At 36.8% G+C, this 21,017-nt stretch overlaps 1 protein-coding gene across 50 annotated transcripts in view, besides 1 other annotated feature; it reads left to right on the top strand.

Moving 5' to 3' along the window:
* Nucleotides 1–21,017, top strand: part of DOP1A (DOP1 leucine zipper like protein A) — a 103,680-nt gene that overhangs the window by 13,176 nt on the left and 69,487 nt on the right. For 29 of the 50 annotated variants that reach the window (NR_169791.1, NR_169790.1, XM_017010559.2 and 26 more), the window contains exons 2-4: nucleotides 15,885–15,977; nucleotides 16,079–16,269; nucleotides 19,859–20,040. The exons of 4 other annotated variants lie outside the window; for them this stretch is intronic. Coding sequence is in view for 42 of the 46 variants with exons in the window: in XM_017010559.2 (XP_016866048.1) it covers nucleotides 16,132–16,269; nucleotides 19,859–20,040 (320 nt within the window). In the remaining 4 variants the exon portion in view is untranslated. Of the gene's footprint in view, nucleotides 1–6,143; nucleotides 6,321–15,884; nucleotides 15,978–16,078; nucleotides 16,270–19,858; nucleotides 20,041–21,017 lie in introns of those variants that run through there. 17 more of the 50 variants (XM_017010560.3, XM_047418430.1, XM_047418435.1 and 14 more) reach the window with 3 other exon arrangements.
* Nucleotides 5,998–6,147: an enhancer, noted in NCBI's record as "active region_24783". NCBI's record gives its function as "activates an Ori minimal core promoter by ATAC-STARR-seq in GM12878 lymphoblastoid cells {active_cell/tissue: GM12878}" and the evidence as "EXISTENCE:reporter gene assay evidence [ECO:0000049][PMID:35858748]".

Raw genomic sequence — 21,017 nt, forward strand, 5'->3', positions numbered from 1 at the left:
CAATACAATTCCTATCAAAAGACCAATGACATTCTTCACAGAAATAGAAAAAAGAAAATCCTAAAATTTTGTGGAACCACAAAAGACCCCAAATAACCAAAGCCATCTTGAGCAAAAAAACAAAGCTGGAGGTGTTCTACTACCTGACTTCATAATATACTACAAAGCTATTGTAACCAAAATAACATGGAACTGGCATAAGAACAGACAGACTGACTAATGGAACAGAATAGAGAGCCCAGAAATAATTCCACACATTTACAAACAACTGTTGGTTTGTTCGTTTGTTTTTTGAGACAGAGTCTCACTCTGTTGCCCGGGCTGGGGTGCAGTGGTGTGATCTCACCTCACTGTGGCCTCTGCCTCCAGGTTCAAGCGATCCTCCTGAGTAGCTGGGATTACAGGCATGCACCACCATGCCCGGCTAATTTTTGTATTTTTAATAGAGACAAGGTTTCACCATGTTGGCCAGGCTGGTCTCCAACTTCTGGCTCAAGTGATCCACCCACCTCAACCTCCCAAAGTGCTGGGTTTACAGGTGTGAGCCACCATGCCCAGCCCTACAACCAACTGGTTTTTGACAAAGGCAACAGTAATACACAGTGGGGCAAGGACATTCTCTTCAGTAAATCGTGTTGGGAAAACTGGATAAACTGCAGAACAAAATTAGACCCTTATCTCTCACCATATACAAAAATCATCTTGGGTTATAAAAAAAAATAGGACCTGAAACTATGAAACTACTAGGAGAAACAAGAAAAGCTATGTGACATTGATCTGCACCATGATTTTGTATCTATGATCTTAAAAGCACAGGCAACAAAAGCAAAAATAGACAAATGGGGTTATATGAAATTAAAAAGCTTCTGCACAGCAAAGGAAACAATTAGCAGAGTAAAGAGACAACCTACTTACAGGATGGGAGAAAATATCTGCACACCATACATCTGATAAGGGGTTAATATCTAAAATATATAAGGAACTCAATAGCAAGTAAACAACTTGATTTTAAAATATGCAAAAGACCTGAGTAGACATTTCCTAAAGGAAGACATAAATGGCCAACAGGTATATGAAAAAAGGCTCAACGTCACTAATCATCAGGTAACTGCAAATCAAAACTAAAATGAGATATCATCTCACTCCTGTTAGAATTGCTGTTATCAAAAAGACAAAAGGTAAGTGTTAGAGAGGATGTGGAGAAAAGGGAACACACTGTTGGTGGGAATGTAAATTAGTATAGCCATTATGGAAAACAGTAAGGAGGGGCCTCAAAAAATGAAAAAAATAGAACTACCATATGATTCTGTAATCCCACTACTGAGTATATATCCAAAGAAAATGAAATCAGTATGTCAAAGAGAGAAGTGCACATAAACAGCAGTATTCACATAGCCAAGATATGGAATCAGCCTAGGGGTCTATCAGCAGATGAAGGGGCAAAGAAAATATGGTTTATATACATGATGGAATGCTATTCACCTATCAAAAAGCAAAATTCTGTTCTTTGCAATAACATGGATGAACCTAGAGGACACTGTGTTAAGTGAAATAAGCAAAGCACAGAAAGATAAATGCTGCATGATCTCACCCAATATGTAAAACCTAAAAAGTATATCCCATAGAAGTAGAGAATAGAATGGTGCTTACCAGCGGCTGGGGTGGTTTGAGGAAATGACAGGATGGAAGAATGTTAGTCAAAGGATATATAGTTAGGAGGAGTAAGTTCAAGGAATCTGTTGTACAGCATAGTGGCTATGGTTAATGATGATATGTTCTTGAAAAATACAAAGAGTAGTAAGTGTTCTTACCACAAAAATGACAACTATTTGAGGCAATGCATTTGTTAATTAGCTACATTTAACCATTACACAGTGTGTATATACTTCAAAACATTATATTGTACATAATACAATTTTATCTGTCAATTTGAAATAAGCTACATGTCTCTTTTTTAAACCCACTTTTTTTTTTTTTTTGAGACCGAGTTTTGCTCTGTCACCCAGGCTGGAGTGCAGTGGTGCGGTCTCCACTCACTGCACCCTCTGCCTCCTGGGTTCAAGCAATTCTTCTGCCTCAGCCTCCCAAGTAGCTGGGATTACAGGTGCCTGCCACCACGCCCAGCTAATTTTTGTATTTTTATTAGAGATGGGATTTCACCATGTTGGCCAGGCTGGTCTCAAACTCCTGACCTCAGGTGATCCACCCGCCTCAGCCTCCTGAAGTGCTGGGATTACAGGCATGAGCCACCATGCCTGGCCAAAAACCCACTCTTTTATAGATAACAACCAAAAATAAAAACTTCTGTATCAGAATCATGATCATTTTTGCCTTATATTTTAAACACTATCAGTATTGAGTGGTGAACCACTTGGGGTATTTTGAGTTGAGCTTTGGTCCCTGTGCTTCATTCAAGGTCTAGGAAGAATAACATATGTATTTACATTATTATAGTTTTTTTTTAAGTACAATTTCTAAGAAAGAAATCTATATAGCCGGAAAAGTTTTTTGAAAAAAGTTAATGAGAGAGGAGAGGTAGAATATGTCATGCAGGAGAATTAAGACTTGTGGTTTAAAAAAAAAAAAAAAAGTTCAGAAAGATACTGATTAAGGGCCAATTCCAGGAGTCAGTCTGCCAGAGTTCTTCCTGGTTCTTCCTTTTATTCTCTGTGGCACCTTGAACACTAATTGCCTTATATGAACATGGATTCATGTGTATATCTACCTCATGGATGTATTGTGAAGATACATGAGATAATTCACATGAAAGGGCTTAGTATAGTGCCTGGCACAGAGTAATTTGTAAGTCAGTATCAACTGTGATTATTATCATCATCTTGAGTAATACGTGGACAATGTTTATTTGGCTACTATGCTTTGGAGACAGGATGATCCTTTGTAACTCAAGGGTATGTGCTTAAGTGTTTATTATTATGGCTGTTTGCCATTTGAAGCTTAAAGTAGAATCCCACCTACCTGCTAATGGCTCATTCCAAGTTATAAATGGTGCTTATGTTTTGTATTTTCTAAAATTAATATTTTCATATTGCTATGTGTACCAGAAATCACAGAATTTGAAATGAGAAAGAATCTGATTTTATAGCATTCAGAGACAATTTTTAATAACGTATATAATTTTGTGTATATTTACTTGGTAAAAAAAGAAATCGTAAAGTTAAATCAGCTTCACTGTCACCTTGGCAGATCTATGGGCTTTTAAACCTCTTGTGTCTTAGGTTTTTATTCGTATAGCTTTTCTGAGACCTAAAGTGAAAATATAAATAGTCATATGCTGTATAACATTTCAATGATGGCCCACCTATGTAACAGTGGTCCCGTAAGGTTTTAATACTGTATTTTACTGTACTTTTCTATTTTTAGGTACACAAATACTTACTGTTGTGTTACAGTTACCTACAGTATTCAATATATAACATGCTGTACAGGTTTGCAGCCTAGGAGCAATAGGTTATACCATATAGCCAGGATGTGTAGTAGGGTTTACCATTATGTCTGTTTAAGCATGTTCTATGAATGTTCACACAATAACTAAATCACCCAACAACACATCTCAGAACATATTCCCATCAAGCAATGCATGACTATAAATAAGTACATAAAGTATAATAAAACTTTTTCCAAATTTTTCTCCAGCTTGAGATTTGCAGCTAATTAATTTGAAAAGATTTGACTTCGACGTCTGGGAGTATCATACCTAAGTAGTTTGTTTTTTTTGTTTTGTTTTGTTTTTTTTGAGACAGAGTCTTGCTTTGTAGCCCAGGCTGGAGTACAGTGGCACCATTTTGGCTCACTGCAGCCTCTACCTCCTGGGTTCAAGCGATTCTTGTGCCTCAGCCACCCAAGAGGCTGGGATTACAGGCACGCACCACCACACCTGGCTAATTTTTGTATTTTTTTTTTTTTTTAGTAGAGATGGTTTCACCATGTTGGCCAGGCTGGTCTCGAACTCCTGGCCTCAAGTGATCTGCCTGCCTTGGCCTCCCAAAGTGCTGGGATTACAAGCATGAGCCACTGCACCCAGCCTAAATAGGATTTTTTAAATCTCCTTTCACAGGGCTGGAATGACTTCCTTCACATTTAGATAGTTATGTTTAATACAGATTAAACTGAGCCAGTTTTTTAAAAGTGTAACTGGAATGTACACATTTTTATAAATGTTCTTAGGCAATCTGTTTTTTAAAGCACTTAATAGCCATGTGAATGTATTCTGTATTTGAGGAGAGTAAGGTCAAGTGTGACTATACTAGTTAAGAAATAGAACTGTAGTTCTGCTTTTTATTTTTCTTCTACAAAGCTTTTCTCAGAAAAAACAAACGAAAATGGTTTAACTATATTGTCGTTGATAGATTAGTTCATTTATTCAGATTATATTTGAGGCCCTACTGTTTATCAGCCACTATTATGGGACTGCCGATGCAGGTATGAACAACTAAGATAAGGCTATTGACTTCATAGTATTTGCATCCCATTGAGAGATGATAGACAGGAAACAAGCAAATAAATAGGAAAATTTCAAAGTGTAACAAATGCTAATAAGGAAATAATGTGATGTTATAGGGTATGTGGTAAGAGTTTGGCCCCAGGCAGGCTACTTAGACTGATCAGAAAGAACTTTTGGTAGGGTTTGATATTACTGGAGGACGGGAAGAAATCTGTCACATAGAGTTGACCAAAGAGATTTTAAATGTAGAGAATAGCAAGAACAAAATGCCTAGAATGCAAAAAAAATTGGTGTATTTGAGTTTGGATATTATTCTAAGCTTTGTATTGGAATATTTGTATTTAGGGTATAGCTAAGATGTTGCTGTTTCTGCTGTATCAGAAGAGGTCTTATCCTTAGAGAATAATTAAGACTAGAAGGTGACCAGGACAAGCTTTGAGGAAAACCATTGATGGGTTTTTTGCGGTATTTTATGTTATGTTATGTTATGTTATGTTATGTTATGTTATGTTATGTTATGTTATGTTATTTTGAGACAGAGTCTCGCTCTATCGCCATTGACAGGTTTTAGGCAAAGGAATGACATAATGTGTCTCTGGCTTCTCTGTGGAGGATGAATTATGCAGACTCTCAAGAATAGAAGCAGGAATCAGTGGTGTGCTGGAGTGGGCTATAACTGGTTAGAATAATAGAAGAGGAAAAGTGGCAGGTATAGATTTAGGACACATCAGTTAACAGATGCTATTGGAGCTATAGGACTATAGGAGATAACCTAAAGGGAAAGAAGAGAGGAGGGTTCCTGATTGAACCTTGAAGTAAGGCTGACCCATGAATCGAAAATCCACGTATAATTTTTGACTCCCCAAAAACTTTACTAATAGCCTACTATAGACTGGAAGCCTTACTGGTAACATAAATGGTTGATTAACACATTTGTAGGTTATATGTATAATATGCTGTATTCTTATAATGAAATAAGCTAGAGAAAAGAAAATAGTAAGAAAACCATAAGAGAAAATATATGTACTGTTCATTAAGTGGAAGTGGATCATCACAAAGATCTTCATGAACCTCATTGTCTTCACTGTGAGTGGGCAGAGGAAGAGGAGGAGAAAGAAGAGAGGTTGGTCTTGCTGTCTTGGGTAGGTAGTAGAAGTGGAAGAAAATCCACGAAGAAACGGACCCATGCAACTCAAATTGCATGTTTTTCAAGACTCAGCTGTACCTCAGCATTTAAAATTGAATAGAAAAGAGAAGCCAACATAAACTGAAAAAAAGAGGCTAAGAGATAACAAACCTTGAGAGGGAAGAGTCCCGGAAGCCAAAAACAAGGTATTGAATACTGCTGAGTTGAATAAAATGAGGGGCTACAGAAGTGACCTTTGGCTTTGGTTAAAGCACATTATGGGTGATTTTTATACGGGTTTTTTTCCTGGAGGGACAGTCCCATAGGCATTTCACGGAGTCTGAAGAGTGAATAAAAGATAAGGAAAAAATAGCAAATATAGAGAAATCTTTCAGGTTTTGCTATGAGAGAATAAAGAAATGGGTTGGCAGCCAGAGAGCCTGTGGGGGTCAAGGAAAGGCTATGGGTTTTAATTTTAGTTTTAGTTTTAGTTTTAGTTTTAGACCATGAGAGATTCGGGGGGTAGACTTTAGGCTGTAGACAGGAAAAGAAACTGATAGTATTGAAGGAGCCTGAGCTAATAGTCCTTGGGAAGGCAAGAGGAGACCAGATTCAGAACACAGCAAGAGGGAGGCCTTTACTGGGAGGAAGGTCCTTTGTCCTTCATAATGGAAAGAAAAGTAGAGAATATGGGTATAGGTGAAGATAGGTTACAGATTTGTTGGAGGGAAGGTAAGAATATTCTTTTTGCTTCCATTTTCTTAAGTTTGAAACTAGATCTTTAGCAATGATGGAGGGAAGACAGTATTAGGATTTTGAGAAGAGAAGGTATGAAATAGTTGTGTCAAGAACTTAAATTTACTAAGGAAACAGTGGGTTAGGATAGTGTTGAGTACCTGTTTGAAGTTTGTGCTTCTCAATTTAAGTCAACCTGATTGTATGATTTTTTTCTCCAATGTTTAGTTGCTCATTTTCAGGCTGAAAACAAAAAAAAACATGTAGTTGAGTTTAACCAGGATTGGAGTTTTGTCAGATGAGTATAAAGAGGAAGATTCCACACTCTTTACCCCAAGGTAGGATGGGTATGAGAAGGAAAACAGCCTCCGTGAAAGTGAAGAGTAATGACTAGGAGTTAGGACTCTAAAGCCAAATTGCTTGTGTTTAAATCCCTACCTCTCCCATTTACTAGCTGTATTGCATATCATTTCTATCCTTCAGTTTCCTTACTTGTAAATGTGAGTAATAGTGCCTACTGCAAAGGATCAACTGGGATTAAATTAATTAAAATACACGAAGCACTTGAATAGTTCCTGGTATTTAGTAAGTACACTGTAAGGTTAGAAGAGGTCTTGTCCTCAGAGAATAATTAAGACTAGAAGGCGACAGGACAAGCTTTGGGGAAAACCATTGATGTTTGTTTTTTTGTTTGTTTGTTTGTTTGTTTTGGTTTTTTTTGAGATGAAGTCTTGCTTTGTTGCCCGGGCTGGAGTGCAGTGGCGCGATCTCAGCTCACTGCAAGCTCCGCCTCCCAGGTTCATGCCATTCTCCTGCCTCAGCCTCCCGAGTAGTTGGGACTACAGGCGCCTGCCGCCATGCCCGGCTAACCTTTTGTATTTTTTTAGTAGAGACGGGTTTCACCGTGTTAGCCAGGATGGTCTCGATATCCTGACCTCATGATCTACCCCTCTCGGTCTCCCAAAGTGTTGGGATTACAGGTGTGAGCCACCGCACCCGGCCAACCATTGATGGGTTTTAAGCAAAGGAATGGCATAATTAAGACTAGAAGGTGACAGGACATGCAGAGGAAAGGCTGATGATCTGTTGAGCACATATCTGAAGTTTCCTAGAGTGTATACCATTTGAAAGTTTGAGACAACAGTAAGGGCATGGGAGATTGGATCAGATTAGGGAAGTACAGAGCATCAGGTTTATAATGAGTGACAATAACCTATTTGTAAAATACCTAGTAAGTGTTGTCTTCCATCTTTTTTTTTTTTTTTTTTTTTTGAGATGGAGTCTCACTCTGTCCCCAGGCTGGAGTGCAGTGGCGCGATCTCAGCTCACTGCAACCTCCAACTCTGAGGTTCAAGCGATTCTCCTGCATCACCCTCCCCAGTAGCTGGGATTACAGGCATGCACCACCACACCCAGCTAATTTTTGTGTTTCTAGTAGAGACGGGTTTCACCATGTTGGCCAGGATGGCCTTGATCTCCTGACCTCGTGATCTGCCCGCCTCAACCTCCCAAAATGCTGGGATTACAGGTGTGAGCCACCATGCCCGGCCTTCATCCATATTTTTAACACTCAAGGGAAGTTTCCAGCTTTCAGGAGTGACTGGCTTTATGAATTGACTAAATAAATGATTCCTGAAGATTATTTAGTGACAGTGCCAACATTGGAACCTAGAACTGTTGACCAAAATGAAATAGATTATTAATGGTTACATCTGTTAGATGGTAACAATTACTGAATGGTAATTTTTCATTAGTTAGAAAAGTTTGGAAAGAGCATCTACTTATATAGCTTTTTTTCCGATGTTCTCTTTCAAAAACAACAGCAGGGTTTTTTGCCCCATTGCATGGTGCTTACAATAATTCATTAATTTATATTCTTGGGATGTGCTAGAAACACTTAGTCCCCAGATACATCTTTGGAATTGAGTAATAATGAATCTTTTCTCTTTTCAGCCCTCCCCCTGCCTTTTGTGGCAAAGGAAGGAGAGAAAGAGAAAATGCAGCTAGTGATAAGCAAACTAGCCAAAGTATCTTTGTGTTGTTATTCTGAAGTGAGGTCTACTCACTTTTTATCACCATTTAAACAGAACTTTTAAAAATTGAGATGGTATGATACAATATTTCATTTCTTATTTAAATTTTAGCTTTTTATGCTATAAAGTGTAAAAACAAATCTGTACTACCTACTAATTTTTTCATAGGGCATAACTTGCCCAGAGAAATCTACAGCTTTTATCTTTTTTCATAAACAGCTTTTTTGCTTTATTTTTATAATTGATATATGTTATATTTGTGAGACAAAACATGACACTAAATTATGTTTCATGACAATTCAGGTCCAATTTATCTGAGTTGTAACTTTGAAAGTATTGCAACTAAATTGTCCAGTGGACTAAAGATCAAGTCAGAGAAACTACGATTAACAGCCCCTAGAAGAAAGATTACAAATGCAACTTTGATTTACTTGCATCACTTTAAACAAGCTAGAATTTTTATTTTTATTTTTTTAAGTTTCCTGGTTATATTAAATAAATAGTTTGTTATTGTATCTCCTGGAAAGTTGCAGGTTATTGAGAGGAGGGAGTTAATTTCAAACAAAACAGCTCATTTGACAGAGATGATGTAAATGTTTGATATAACGTTTAAGATGATGGAAATGTTCTGTATCTTAACTGTAGTGAAGAATCTTGATTGTGGTGATGGTTTTATGGGTGCACGCACTAGTCAGAACTCATCAAATATGTGTATTAAATATATACAGTTTAACAAAGCCATAAAACATGTTTGGCAATAATACTACATTTTAACTAATATTCACAAGACAATTCAAGATAGGTTAGTGAGTCCTCAGTTTTCCAGTTTGCTGCCAAGAAATTCAGAGCCACATCTGATGCTTAATTATAACTTACTACCCCTCTTAATTAACATACTTGCTTCCCAGTGTTGTTTTGATTTCGTAGGAAATAATGACGACAACTGTTTCTTGAGCATTTTCTATGTGCTGAGCACTCTGATAACTTTAGTATGTTACTTATTTAATTTTGACAGCCATTCAAGTATAAGTGTTTTCATCTCATTTAATGGATAAGGAAAACTGGTTTGACAAAATTAAGCATGTTGCCCAAGGTCATACAGCTGCTAAGTAAGTATTAGAGCTAGGATTTAGATTTAGGTCATCTTGACTTTAACCCCTGTTCTTGGAGGCCCTACCGTCTACTGCCTGTCTTTTCATCGCCTGGGGTTTCTGTGAAACACTACTCTGTTATTAAGTATGTCTATTTATTTTGTGTTTATTCTGGAGAAGAGGCATGGTATAAAGTTTGATACACTATGGGGATACGTTATATTTGCATTATGATCTAAGTCAGTGGTGTTTAAAGTGTGTTATTCACAAACTTTGTTAAGAGACATGGTGAAATAAGCACAGAGATAAAAGTAAACATTTAGAAACTTTTATAGCAATTTAATATTACTGCAACAACTAAAGCACATGATTTTATATTTTAGAAAAGTATTGGTCAGTGATGGATTTGGTGGAAATACTGATCTTTCACTACAGATAGTTTGAGAAGTATTGACCTAAGCCATTATAAAACAAAATATGGGGGAAAATGACTGAGAACTGCAATTTGTATGTATATATTGGATGAAAGGCTTAAAATGGTGTATCTTTACACTTCTTTTCTGATATATAATGACAATTTTATTTGCATTAAAGTCATTGTGGAATTACAACTAAATTTTTAGTCCTAGGATTTGACTATTGTATTAGTTTTCATGCTGCTGATAAAGACATACCTGAGACTGGGCAGTTTACAGAAGAAAGAAGTTTAATCGGACTTACAGTTCCATATGGCTGGGGAAGCCTCACAATCATGGGGAAGGCAAGGAGGAGCAAGTCACATCTTAATGGATGGCAGCAGGCAAAGGAAAAAAATTAAAAAAAAAAAAAAGCTTGTACAGGAAAACTCTCCCTTATAATACCATCAGATCTCACCCACCACCATGAGGATACCATGGGAAAGACCTGCCCCCATGATCCAGTTACCTCCCACCAGGTCCCTCCCACAGCACATGGGAATTCAAGATGAGATTTGGGTGGGGACACAGCCAAACCATATCAACCATCTTTTCACATGAAAAGTAATACTGCAGCTCTGCTGATGAAACTTCTGCAAAATGTCTCTTCTCATTTTTCAGCAATTTAAGATTTTGCTTTTAATATTTTGTTTTATATGTTTGATATAAACATATATCAAACAAACAAGCTATATGAAGTCTTTTTAATCATATTTAAATATTTAGGAATTTATTGCCTAAAAAAAAGTAAGAAAGTTCAAATTAATTACCTGACCAAACTTTTTAGCTGTAGATGCATACAAGAGTTATAAGCCTTACAGACATAGCTGGTCATTATTAATTGACTTTTTTATAGCAAATAAGATTATCTGAAGGATGTGTATGTTGAGATAATATTGCTTAAAAATTATTAGGCTGATAAATGACCCCTATTTTCATTAATAGAAATTACTACTAAATTGCTTGGCAGGTTAATCTTCCTCATGCACTGAATATTATATGTCTTCAAAATGAATGCTATTTTATATCTTATTCTGGAAATCTTGCTAAGGAAGGAAAAAAAATGTTCCTGCTGATAAAATTTATGCGTGTGTTTTACTCTGTCTACCACATTCTTAAATTCATTGATTGGATTTTAGTTATTTTATACGAATTTTATGTGCTTTCAGAAAATCCAGTCAAGTTGATATTTTCCCTGAGTTTAATTTGGTTTTGCTATCCTTCTGATTTCTGAGAAACAGAACTAGAAATGTTTTAGGTTGTGTTCACTCTAACCTTCATTCCATATATGTCACTGTTGGTATTTAACTGTTTTATTAGCTATCAGAGTTTATGGCCTTACTTGTTTTAGTGTGCTAGTCTTTTGTATCTGACATACATACAGGTATTGCTTTGTGTGTATGCTGTGTGTGTGTGTTTATGGTTAAATCTAGTATTTAAAAGTTTTAGAAACCATGGATTGATAATGAAATAGCTTGTATCATTTTTAATTTATTACCAGTCTTTATTATGTTTAAACACTTTGATCATGAGTCCAACTGTAGCCTCACTATTGTAAGTTATGTGTTGTCCAGCATAGAGACATGTATAAAACATAGTTCCTGCTCTCAAAGAACTTTCCTGGTAGGAAAATTGCATAGCAAATCCTTATATAAAACAAAAATTAATTTGATGTGCAAGGTTAAGATTATTTTGATTCACATATTTAAGTTCATATTTATTGTGAGTTCTTCAGAGTACTTCAAAATACTGCTTTATGTTTGATTTGCTGCTCTGAGTCCAAAGCATGAAGGGACAGTAGTGTCCCTCCCCCCCCCCCCACCATATTCACCAGGGATATGTTTTAAGACCCCCCTAATGGATGCCTGAAACTGCAGATAGTACCAAACTCTAAATTCTGTTTTTTTTTCTATACATATATACCAGTGATAAAGTTTAATTTACAAATTAGGCATAGTACTCTTTCTTGCACTTTACAGCTATTATTAAGTAAAATAAGGGCACAAGCACTGTGCTACCACAACAGTCAGTCTATAACCCACACAGCTACTAAGTGATTAATGAGCAGTTATCATCTATAGCATGGATACACTGCACAAAGGGAGGGTTCACTTTGTTCTGCGAGAGATTTTGTCATGTTACTCAGAATGTTATGCAATTTAAAACTTACGAATTGTTTATTTCTGGAATTTTTCATGTAATATTTCCAGACTGTGGTTGGTTGAGGTTAACTGAAACCCCACAGACAGTGAAAATGTGGATGGGGTGGGGAAGAAGTACTGTATGACTGTGTTTTCCTCCCCACATAAACTTTATATTATTTTAAGTCCCTTAGCATCAAATATCAAGTTTTAAAGAGAAAAATAAACTATCTTATTTTGTTCTCTACTCTCACTGTCCCAATTGGGAATGAAAGTATCATGAGGTCAGGGATGTTCTCTCTAGTCAGCACCCAAACATAGTGCTTGGCACATGGTATGCTGAAGCAAAATCATTTCATGTCAAATGAAATCACATTTAAGGTGACTACTCTCTCCAAAGATAGGCTTTGGGACTTGTTTTCATTTTTGTGGATAAAATAATTGAAGTAGAGAATTGGGAAACTCGTATAGCCTCTCTTTGGCACAACCTTAACCAAGGAAATTTTGATTTTATAAATCAATGGATTTGTAGCTTTTTTCAGTACAAACAGATTTTACTCATTGGCTATATTCTCTAGTGGTTTTTAACCTTTTTGTTAAAAAACTATTGTTTGAGAATATTATGAAAGAAGTAGACTCTCCCCAATAAAATGTAAGACATGTAAATTTCACATGTAATTTAAGGTGATTCATATATTTTGAGTATGCAGTTCACCTATTTAAAGTATGTAATATGGGCTGGGCACAGTGGCTCACGCCTGTAATGCCAGCACTTTGGGAGGCCAGCGCAGGCAGATGACGAGGTCAGGAGTTCGAGACCAGCCTGGCCAGCGTGGTGAAACCCCATCTCTACTAAAAATACAAAAATTAGCCAGGCATGGTGCCAGGTGCCTGTAATCCCAGCTGCTCGGGAGGCTGAAGCAGGAGAATCGCTTGAGCCCAGGAGGCGGAGATTGCAGTGAGCCGAGATGGCGCCACTGCACTCCAGCACTCCAACCTGGGTGACAGAGTGAGACTCCGTCTCAAAAACAAACAAACAAAAAATATATATATAAAATATGATATTCAGTATATTCAGAATTGTGAAACCATCTCTACAATCAATTTTAAAACATTTTTGTCACCCCAAAAAGAAACCCTATATTCATTTTGAGTTCATTGTCCATTTCCCACCAATTCCTCTTTTCCTCTTCTCCCCCCACTCTAATCAACCACTAATTTACTTTGTCTCTATAGATTTTTCTATTCCTGTCATTTCATATAAATGGAATCATATACTATGTGGTCTTATGTCAATGGCTTCTTTCACTTACAATGTTTTCAAGGTTCATGCGTGTTATAGTTTGTATCACTATTTCATTCTTTTTTATGACCAAATAATATTCCATGGTATTTTAGTTATTTGTGTGTCAGTTGATGAATATTTGGGTTATTTCTTCTTTTGGCTATTATGAATAATGCATCTATGAGCATTCACACAAGTTTTTGAGTGTACATATATTTTCATTTCTCTTGTGTCTACACCATACGTAGGAGTGGAATTTATGGCTTATAGTAATTCTATGTTGAACCTTGGAGAACTACTACCAGACTGTTTTCCAGAGGAGCTACGCCAATTTATGTTCCTCCAGCAGTGTATGAGGGTTCCAGTTTCTACATAACACGCTTATTGTCTATCTTTTTTATTGTAACCATCCTAGTAGTCATGAAATATTGTGGTTTTGATTTGTTTCCCTGATGATTAATTATGTGGAGTGTCATTTTACGTACTTATTGACCATTTGTACATTTTCCTTTTAGAAATGTCCATTCACATCTGTTGCCCACTTTGGAATTATTTGTCTTTTTATTATTGGCTTGGAAGAGTTTTTTATTATCTAGTTTAAGTCTCATCAGATATATGGAGGATATATTTTCTCCTATTCTGTCAGTTGTCTTTTCACTTTCTTAATGTTATCCTTTGCAACACGAAAGTTTTACTTCTGATGAAGTCCAATTTATTTTTTCTTTTGTTGCTTGTGTTTTTGGTTTTTAATTTTATTTTATTTTGTTTATTTTTTTGAGATGGAATCTCACTCTGTTGCCCAGGCTGGGGTGCAGCGGCGTGATCTTGGCTCACTGCAGCCTCGGACTGCCGGGTTCAAGTGATAGTCCTGCCTCAGCCTCCCGAGTAACTGAGATTACAGGCATGAGCCACCACACCTGGCTGATTTTTGTATTTTTAGTAGAGACGAGGTTTCACCATGTTGGTCAGCCTGGTCTTGAACTCCTGACCTCAAGCGATCCGCCTACCTCGGCCTCCTAAAGTGCTAGGATTACAGGCGTGAGCCACCGTGCCTGGCTTTCAGTTTTATTTCTAAGAAGACTTTGCCTAGCCACAGGTCACAAAGATTTAATCCTATATTTTTTTCTGAGGGTTTTATAGTTCTAACTGTTACATTTAGATCTCTGATCTATTTTAAAGTAACTTTTGTGTAGATGTGAAGGAGTCAACTTTGTTCTTTTGCACATGGGATATTCAGTTATCCCAAACTACTTGTTGGAAAGACTATTCTTACCTTGGTTGAATTGTGTTAGCATCCCCTAAGGCCCACTCTTAGACCTTCCTGTAGGTCCGTGCATCCAGCTCTAGAGAAAGGTACCAAGTTAGTTAGAAGTCAGTTAGGATACCAGAAAAATTAAAGGGGAGCCACATTGGTTTTTAAGTAGAACCTTAATTCAATTATTCCTATTACCCTAGATTACGTATTGCTGTGTAACAAATGACCCCTGAACTCAGTGGCCTATAACAAAATCTTCTGTAGGTCTCGAATTTGAGAGACTTAGCTCATGTATTCCTGGCTTCGGGTAACTCATGAAGTTATAGTCAGGATGCCAGTTGGGGCCACAGTCAAATTAAGGCTTGGCTGAGGATGGAGGATCTGCTTCTAAGGTGGCTTACTCACATGGCTGTATAGAAAGCTTCAGCTCCTTGTCACGAGACCTGCCTTCTCCATAGGGCTCCTTGAAAGTGTCTTCATGATGTGGCAGCTAGCTCCCCCCAGAACTAATGATAAGAGAGTAAAGAGGAAACCAAAGTGCATTTATGACCTGTTGGCCGTTACACATTGTCTCTTCTACCCTATTCTTTTCATGAGAAATGAGTCACAAAGTTGACCCTAAGGTGCTGGGGGATTGGGAACCACTTTTTCAAAGAAATAACAAAGAATTTGTGGATTTGTTTTTTTGCTTTAATAGAGGCAGAGTCTTGCTCTATCACCCAGTCATATTTCATTGCAGCCTTGAACTCTTGGACTCAAGCTATCCTCTCACTTCAGCCTCTTGAGTAGCTGGGACTACAGGTGCCACCATGCCTGGCTAATTTTTATTTTTTTTAGAGACAGGATCTCACTGTGTTGCCAATGCTGGTCTTGAAACCTTGATCTTAGGCCATACTCCATCCTCAAGCCTCCCAAGTAGCTGGGATTACAGGTGTGAGCCACTGTACTCAGCTGTGGGCATACTTTAAACCACCACATGTTCTTGTCAGTTTTATTCAAAGTAAAGTCTAATTCCAAACAGCTAATGGGCCTTCATACTAGATGCCCACTTATTACTTAATAAAATGATCTCCGAATCATTTATTTGTTTTTCTTTCTTCCCCTGTGTTCTTGATTCTTCCAATCTAACCAGACTTAATGTATTTTAGGATCAAAACAAAGTAGAGGAGCATATATATATCAGAAATGTTACATAAACAAATATGACAGAGAAATAACATGATTCTAAATTGAAATAAGTATAAGAAAATTTTCTATGCTTTTACTTACTAAATTTTCACAGTCATTTTTCCAATTCCTAGGAAGGAACACACAAGTAGTTATCTTTCAGGCTGTCTTTGAATACTTCCATGACCCTGAACACTAGCTGAGGAGAGTTTCAACCACTGCTAACAGTAAGGAACATTTTCAAGTTAGTCATTACCTTTGTAGTAAGATCATATGAACCCGTTTTAATACTTTGTAACCTTGGTTCCTCCTGCAAACTCTTTTGTAGGTAATGACTTTACATGAGTTTGGAACTGGTCTCTAGTGGGAAGTTGTGGGAGGATGAACACAGAAGAGCTGGAGTTATTGAGTGACTCCAAATACAGAAACTATGTAGCAGCAATTGACAAAGCACTAAAGAATTTTGAATACTCCAGTGAATGGGCAGATTTGATATCAGCACTTGGAAAACTTAATAAGGTATGTCTGTATTATCCATTTCATAAAAGGAGTAAAAATTAGAAATCTGTGTTTGTACTTGTTAGATTTCTCGAAATCTTGAAGTAAGAATGCAAAAACATAAATGAACCTTAGATTACTCTTGGTAGTGCTATTTTTCTTCATGAGTTGCATGCCTGTGTAGTCAAGCATATTAAGGCTTTGGAAGTTTTAATTCAAAGAAATAACAATGCTTGAAAAATATAGTTATCGCCATGATTATCAGCTATAAAAACAGAAGAGAAGGAAGCAAATATGCTAACTATGAGGGCTAGTAAATTTCTGTAATGGAGCATCAGATATGGTGCTGGAATTCCTGGCAGCAAAATGAAAACCTACAAATGGAAAGCAGTAATTCCTGTGTTCTTTCCAAATGATATATAGCAACAAGGAAACATTTTCTATCCTGGCAAGCTATAGTTATAATTTGGTACTTTTTACAAAGGCGAGTATATACAAGCAGTTGCTTACGCCTTGCAGCTTGTCCTTGAGTAATTCTTCTTGAGACATGTCTGGTTTTTATTCAGTTATTGTTGTGGCATCATTGATCAACCTCTGGCGCTTCATTTTGACCTTTTTATTTTTTAAACATCAATTTTTTTTACTGCATACCCATAGTTAAGGTTTTTTTTAAATTGTTATTGAATGGGAGTGTTTCTAAATATTAAAGAGGTTACATAGGAAAGGAGTGGCCTTCCAATAACTTATTCTATTTTATTTTATTTTATTTTATTATTTTATTTTATTTTATTTTATTTTATTTTCATTTATTTTATTTTATATGAGACAAGGTCTTACTCTTTCACCCAGGCTGGAGTCCAGTGGCATGATTATAGCTCATTGCAGACTCCTGGGCTCAAGGGATCCTCCCACCTCAGCCTTCTGAGTAGGTGGGACTGCAGGCATGCCACCATGTCTGGCTAGTTATTTTTTTAGAGATAGGATCTCGCTATGTTGACCAGGGTGGTCTTGAACTCTTGGCCTCAAATGATCCTCCCACCTCAGCCTCCCAAAGTGCTGGGATTACAGGCATTAGCCACTATACCCAGCCTATCAAATAGCTTAACATACAAATTAGGAAAGAAGTTTGTCTTAAAATACATACTAAGATGTGTGGGGGAAGAAAACACAGATAGTTTTTCCTCTGCTCTCACCACGACAATCAATGCAGAAGATTTCTATAACCCTAAAACAAGTGGTTATTTCTCCCTTACCAGCAAGCAAGCAGTTCTACAGTAGATACCAGCTGGATGTGCTGCAGTTCAATTTGGACACTATCTACCTGGAGATAGTATCAGATCCCACAGGTTGAGGGCTGAGCCTCATAAGACTGTCCTCCTGTTTTGATGCCAATCACAAGCCCTAGTTTGTTTTACCTGTGCTTCTGATCAACTGGCTATAAAGTTCCACAATCCTTTCTTTAGCTTTAATTTGCTAGAGCGGCTCACAGAGCTTAGGGTACTGGTTCATTATAAAGGACATTACAAAGGATACAAGTGAAGAGATGCATAGTGTGAGGTATGGGTGAAGGGACGTAGAACTTTCATGCCCTCCTCAGGAGTGCCACCCTCCAGGAACCTCCGCATGTGTTCAGCTGGCCTGGACACTCTCTAATCATCCTTTTGGGCCTTTTGAGACTTCATTGGATAGGCATGATTGAAGCATGGACAGCTGTGTAGAAATGTGATAGGAAAGAAAAGATATGATGTAATACTAACAGACTAAGTGGGGGAACCCAGCAAGGCCCGTCTGTCAGATTTTTCTTGGCCTCTCTACAGCATTCCTTCCTTCTGGGTATGGGGCAGGACCCCTTCTGAAATAGGGGTCTTTGACCTACAATGAGACCAAGTAGTCCAGAGAATTTTGTTACGGCCAGCTCCGAGACAGGGGAAGATTCCTGCCTTAGGGAGAAAAAGGAGATGAGAAGAGGGCAGGAAAAGTCAGAGAGAAATTGTTTTCTGAGGCCTGCTTCTGAGGCCCAAAGTTCCCCATATTATAATAAGGGCTGTGGGAGTTATGAGCCAGGAACCATGGATGAAAACCTACAGACACACTCTCACTCACAATACCACACCAGGACACTAGTTTTCAACCTGATACGACAGATAATCACTTTGATACCATAAAAAGAAAAGTTACCATTTTCAGTATGTCAAGGATTTGTCTTAAAATTTGATTCAGAAGCTTCTCTTTGATGTTAGAACTTCTAACATTTATCTTTTGAAGTTTGAATAATTCTTTATTCCTTTACAACATCCACAAGAAATTCCATCTAAAAGTACAAGTTTGCTTAAAGGTAGTTAGGTTCTTTTTTTTCCTAAAGAGTTTTGAAGAGTCTGTTTCTGAAGATATACTGGGAACTCTTTTTAAAGGCAAGTCATTAAATGATGGAAATTAATTTGCCTAATTAGGTACATAATTAGTTTTTTAGATTAACCAATATTCACAAAAGTAGATTTCATGGTATCTAGATAACTCAAAGAAGAATACCCAAGTTGTTTATGAAGCTTAGCCAAAATTGTGATAGAACAAGGCAAGGATTGCATATGTGTGTGTGTGTGTGTGTGTGTGTGTGTATATACATATATATATATATATACACACGTATACATATATATACACATACACATATATATATGCTCTATTACATATATATACTCATACCGCCTTTGATGGTCATTTCATATATTATGGCAAAAAAACACAATTACTTTTGCACTAACCTATTATTTCAACCTCAGTTTATTCTGTAAAATAAGACTTTGCATATTTCTTCTAAATTCCAGTTCTAACATAGTCTGTATTCATTCTGAGTCTTCACTTTGTGACATTCTATCAATACTTGATTATAATACTGACTTCTAGGTTCAAACTAAAGGATTACATTTATTATAAGATCTTCTTTACTTAACTAATCTCCTTTGAGTGGTTGGTAAGATAGGGTCTCTGTACAGAAATTCTGCCCTGACCATTATTTCTAAGGAAATGTTATGGTTGAATAAATAAAACAAAAAGTTGTTTTGTCCAGTTAGAAAAATCAGTTTATAAAAACAAATGGGCAATGATAATCTCATGTAGATTTTCTTATAAGCATTAGAATTACTTGCTGTAATTTGATATACTAGGACAATGGTTGTACCTCTTCCAAGTACTGTAAATATCTACTTTGAGGCCAGACTTTATTTCAAAGTAGCAAAAATGGATTGAAGGCTGTAACTTTCCATGTTACATGTTCATGTAACATTCCAGCTGTCTTCTCACATCAAATATTAAAAATTTACCAAAAAAAATCTAAAATACCTCTCTTCTCCATAAATTTGTTTTGGAAAATATCATTTTTCATTAAAAATGTTATTCTGTTAACAGGTAACGAGTTTATTTTTTAAACAAATTAATAAAGTTTGTAACATTTCCTCAGTTTTAATTTTAAATATGGTATATATAGGCAAATGTAGCTAACAAAACACAAAGACCTACAATGATCATTTTTTATAATACTATGCTAGAAAATGGAAGTAAAATGAATGCAATATTTTGTTTTTCTCAACTACATTAAAATGCTTTCTTCAAGGTTTTACAAAATAATGCAAAGTACCAAGTAGTACCCAAAAAGCTGACCATAGGCAAACGCCTAGCTCAATGTCTACATCCAGCATTACCAGGTGGAGTTCATCGGAAGGCGCTTGAAACATATGAAATTATCTTCAAAATAATTGGACCTAAGCGACTTGCCAAAGATCTTTTTTTATATAGGTAAGAATAATTTTACTATATATATACAAATAATATAAAGAAAATGTATTGCTAAACTATTTTATACTTTCTGCACTAAAAACTAAAAATTGAAAACTCCTTAGTGATTAGAAGTTTTCAGATATCAATCTTTGTTTTGTTTTGTTTGAGACGGAGTCTTGCTCTGTCACCCAGGCTGGAGTGCAGTGGCCCAATCTTGGCTCACTGCAAGCTCTGCCTCCCGGGTTCACGCCATTCTCCTGCCTCAGCCTCCCCAGCAGCTGGGACTACAGGCGCCCGCCACCACGCCCGACTAATTTTTTTGTATTTTTAGTAGAGACGGGGTTTCACCGTGTTAGCCAGGATGGTCTCGATCTCCTGACCTCATGATCCGCCTGCCTCTGCCTCCCAAAGTGCTGGGATTACAGGCATAAGCCACCGCGCCTGGCCTCAGATATCAATCTTAAATATTTGAGTTAAGTGATTCAGAAAAATGTAGAACAGTCTTTAATGTCTTTTTGTTTTTTATTCTTAGATATCATTTATTAAAAGTTTTCATTCAAAGTTGTTGAGACTATAGTACATTCTACCTTTTTAAGCTTGAAAACTGGCCTGAGAAAAAAATAGGATACCTTGATCTCTCAGCAACTTTCAACATGGTTGACTCTTCTCCACTTAAAACAGTCTTTTCCTTTGGCTTTCATTGTACCACATTTTCCTGTTCAGTTACTCTTTCTCAGTCTCCTTTACAAGTCTTTCCTCCTCTACCCAAACTCCACACAGAGTTTCTTAGGGCTCATTTAGTGCAGCACCTTCTTATATTTTCACTTTGTAATCTCTCCTTAGACAAACTTAGCCATACCCATGATTTATTTTTTATTTTAAATTTTATTGTGTACATTTAAGATACACAACATGATGTGAGATACCAACAGATAATAAAACAATTACTGTAGATAAACAAATTAACATAGCCATCATCTTACATAGTTACCTAT

This window comes from Homo sapiens, chromosome 6 (genome assembly GCF_000001405.40).
Source record: "Homo sapiens chromosome 6, GRCh38.p14 Primary Assembly".
In the NCBI taxonomy this organism is placed as follows: domain Eukaryota; kingdom Metazoa; phylum Chordata; class Mammalia; order Primates; family Hominidae; genus Homo; species Homo sapiens.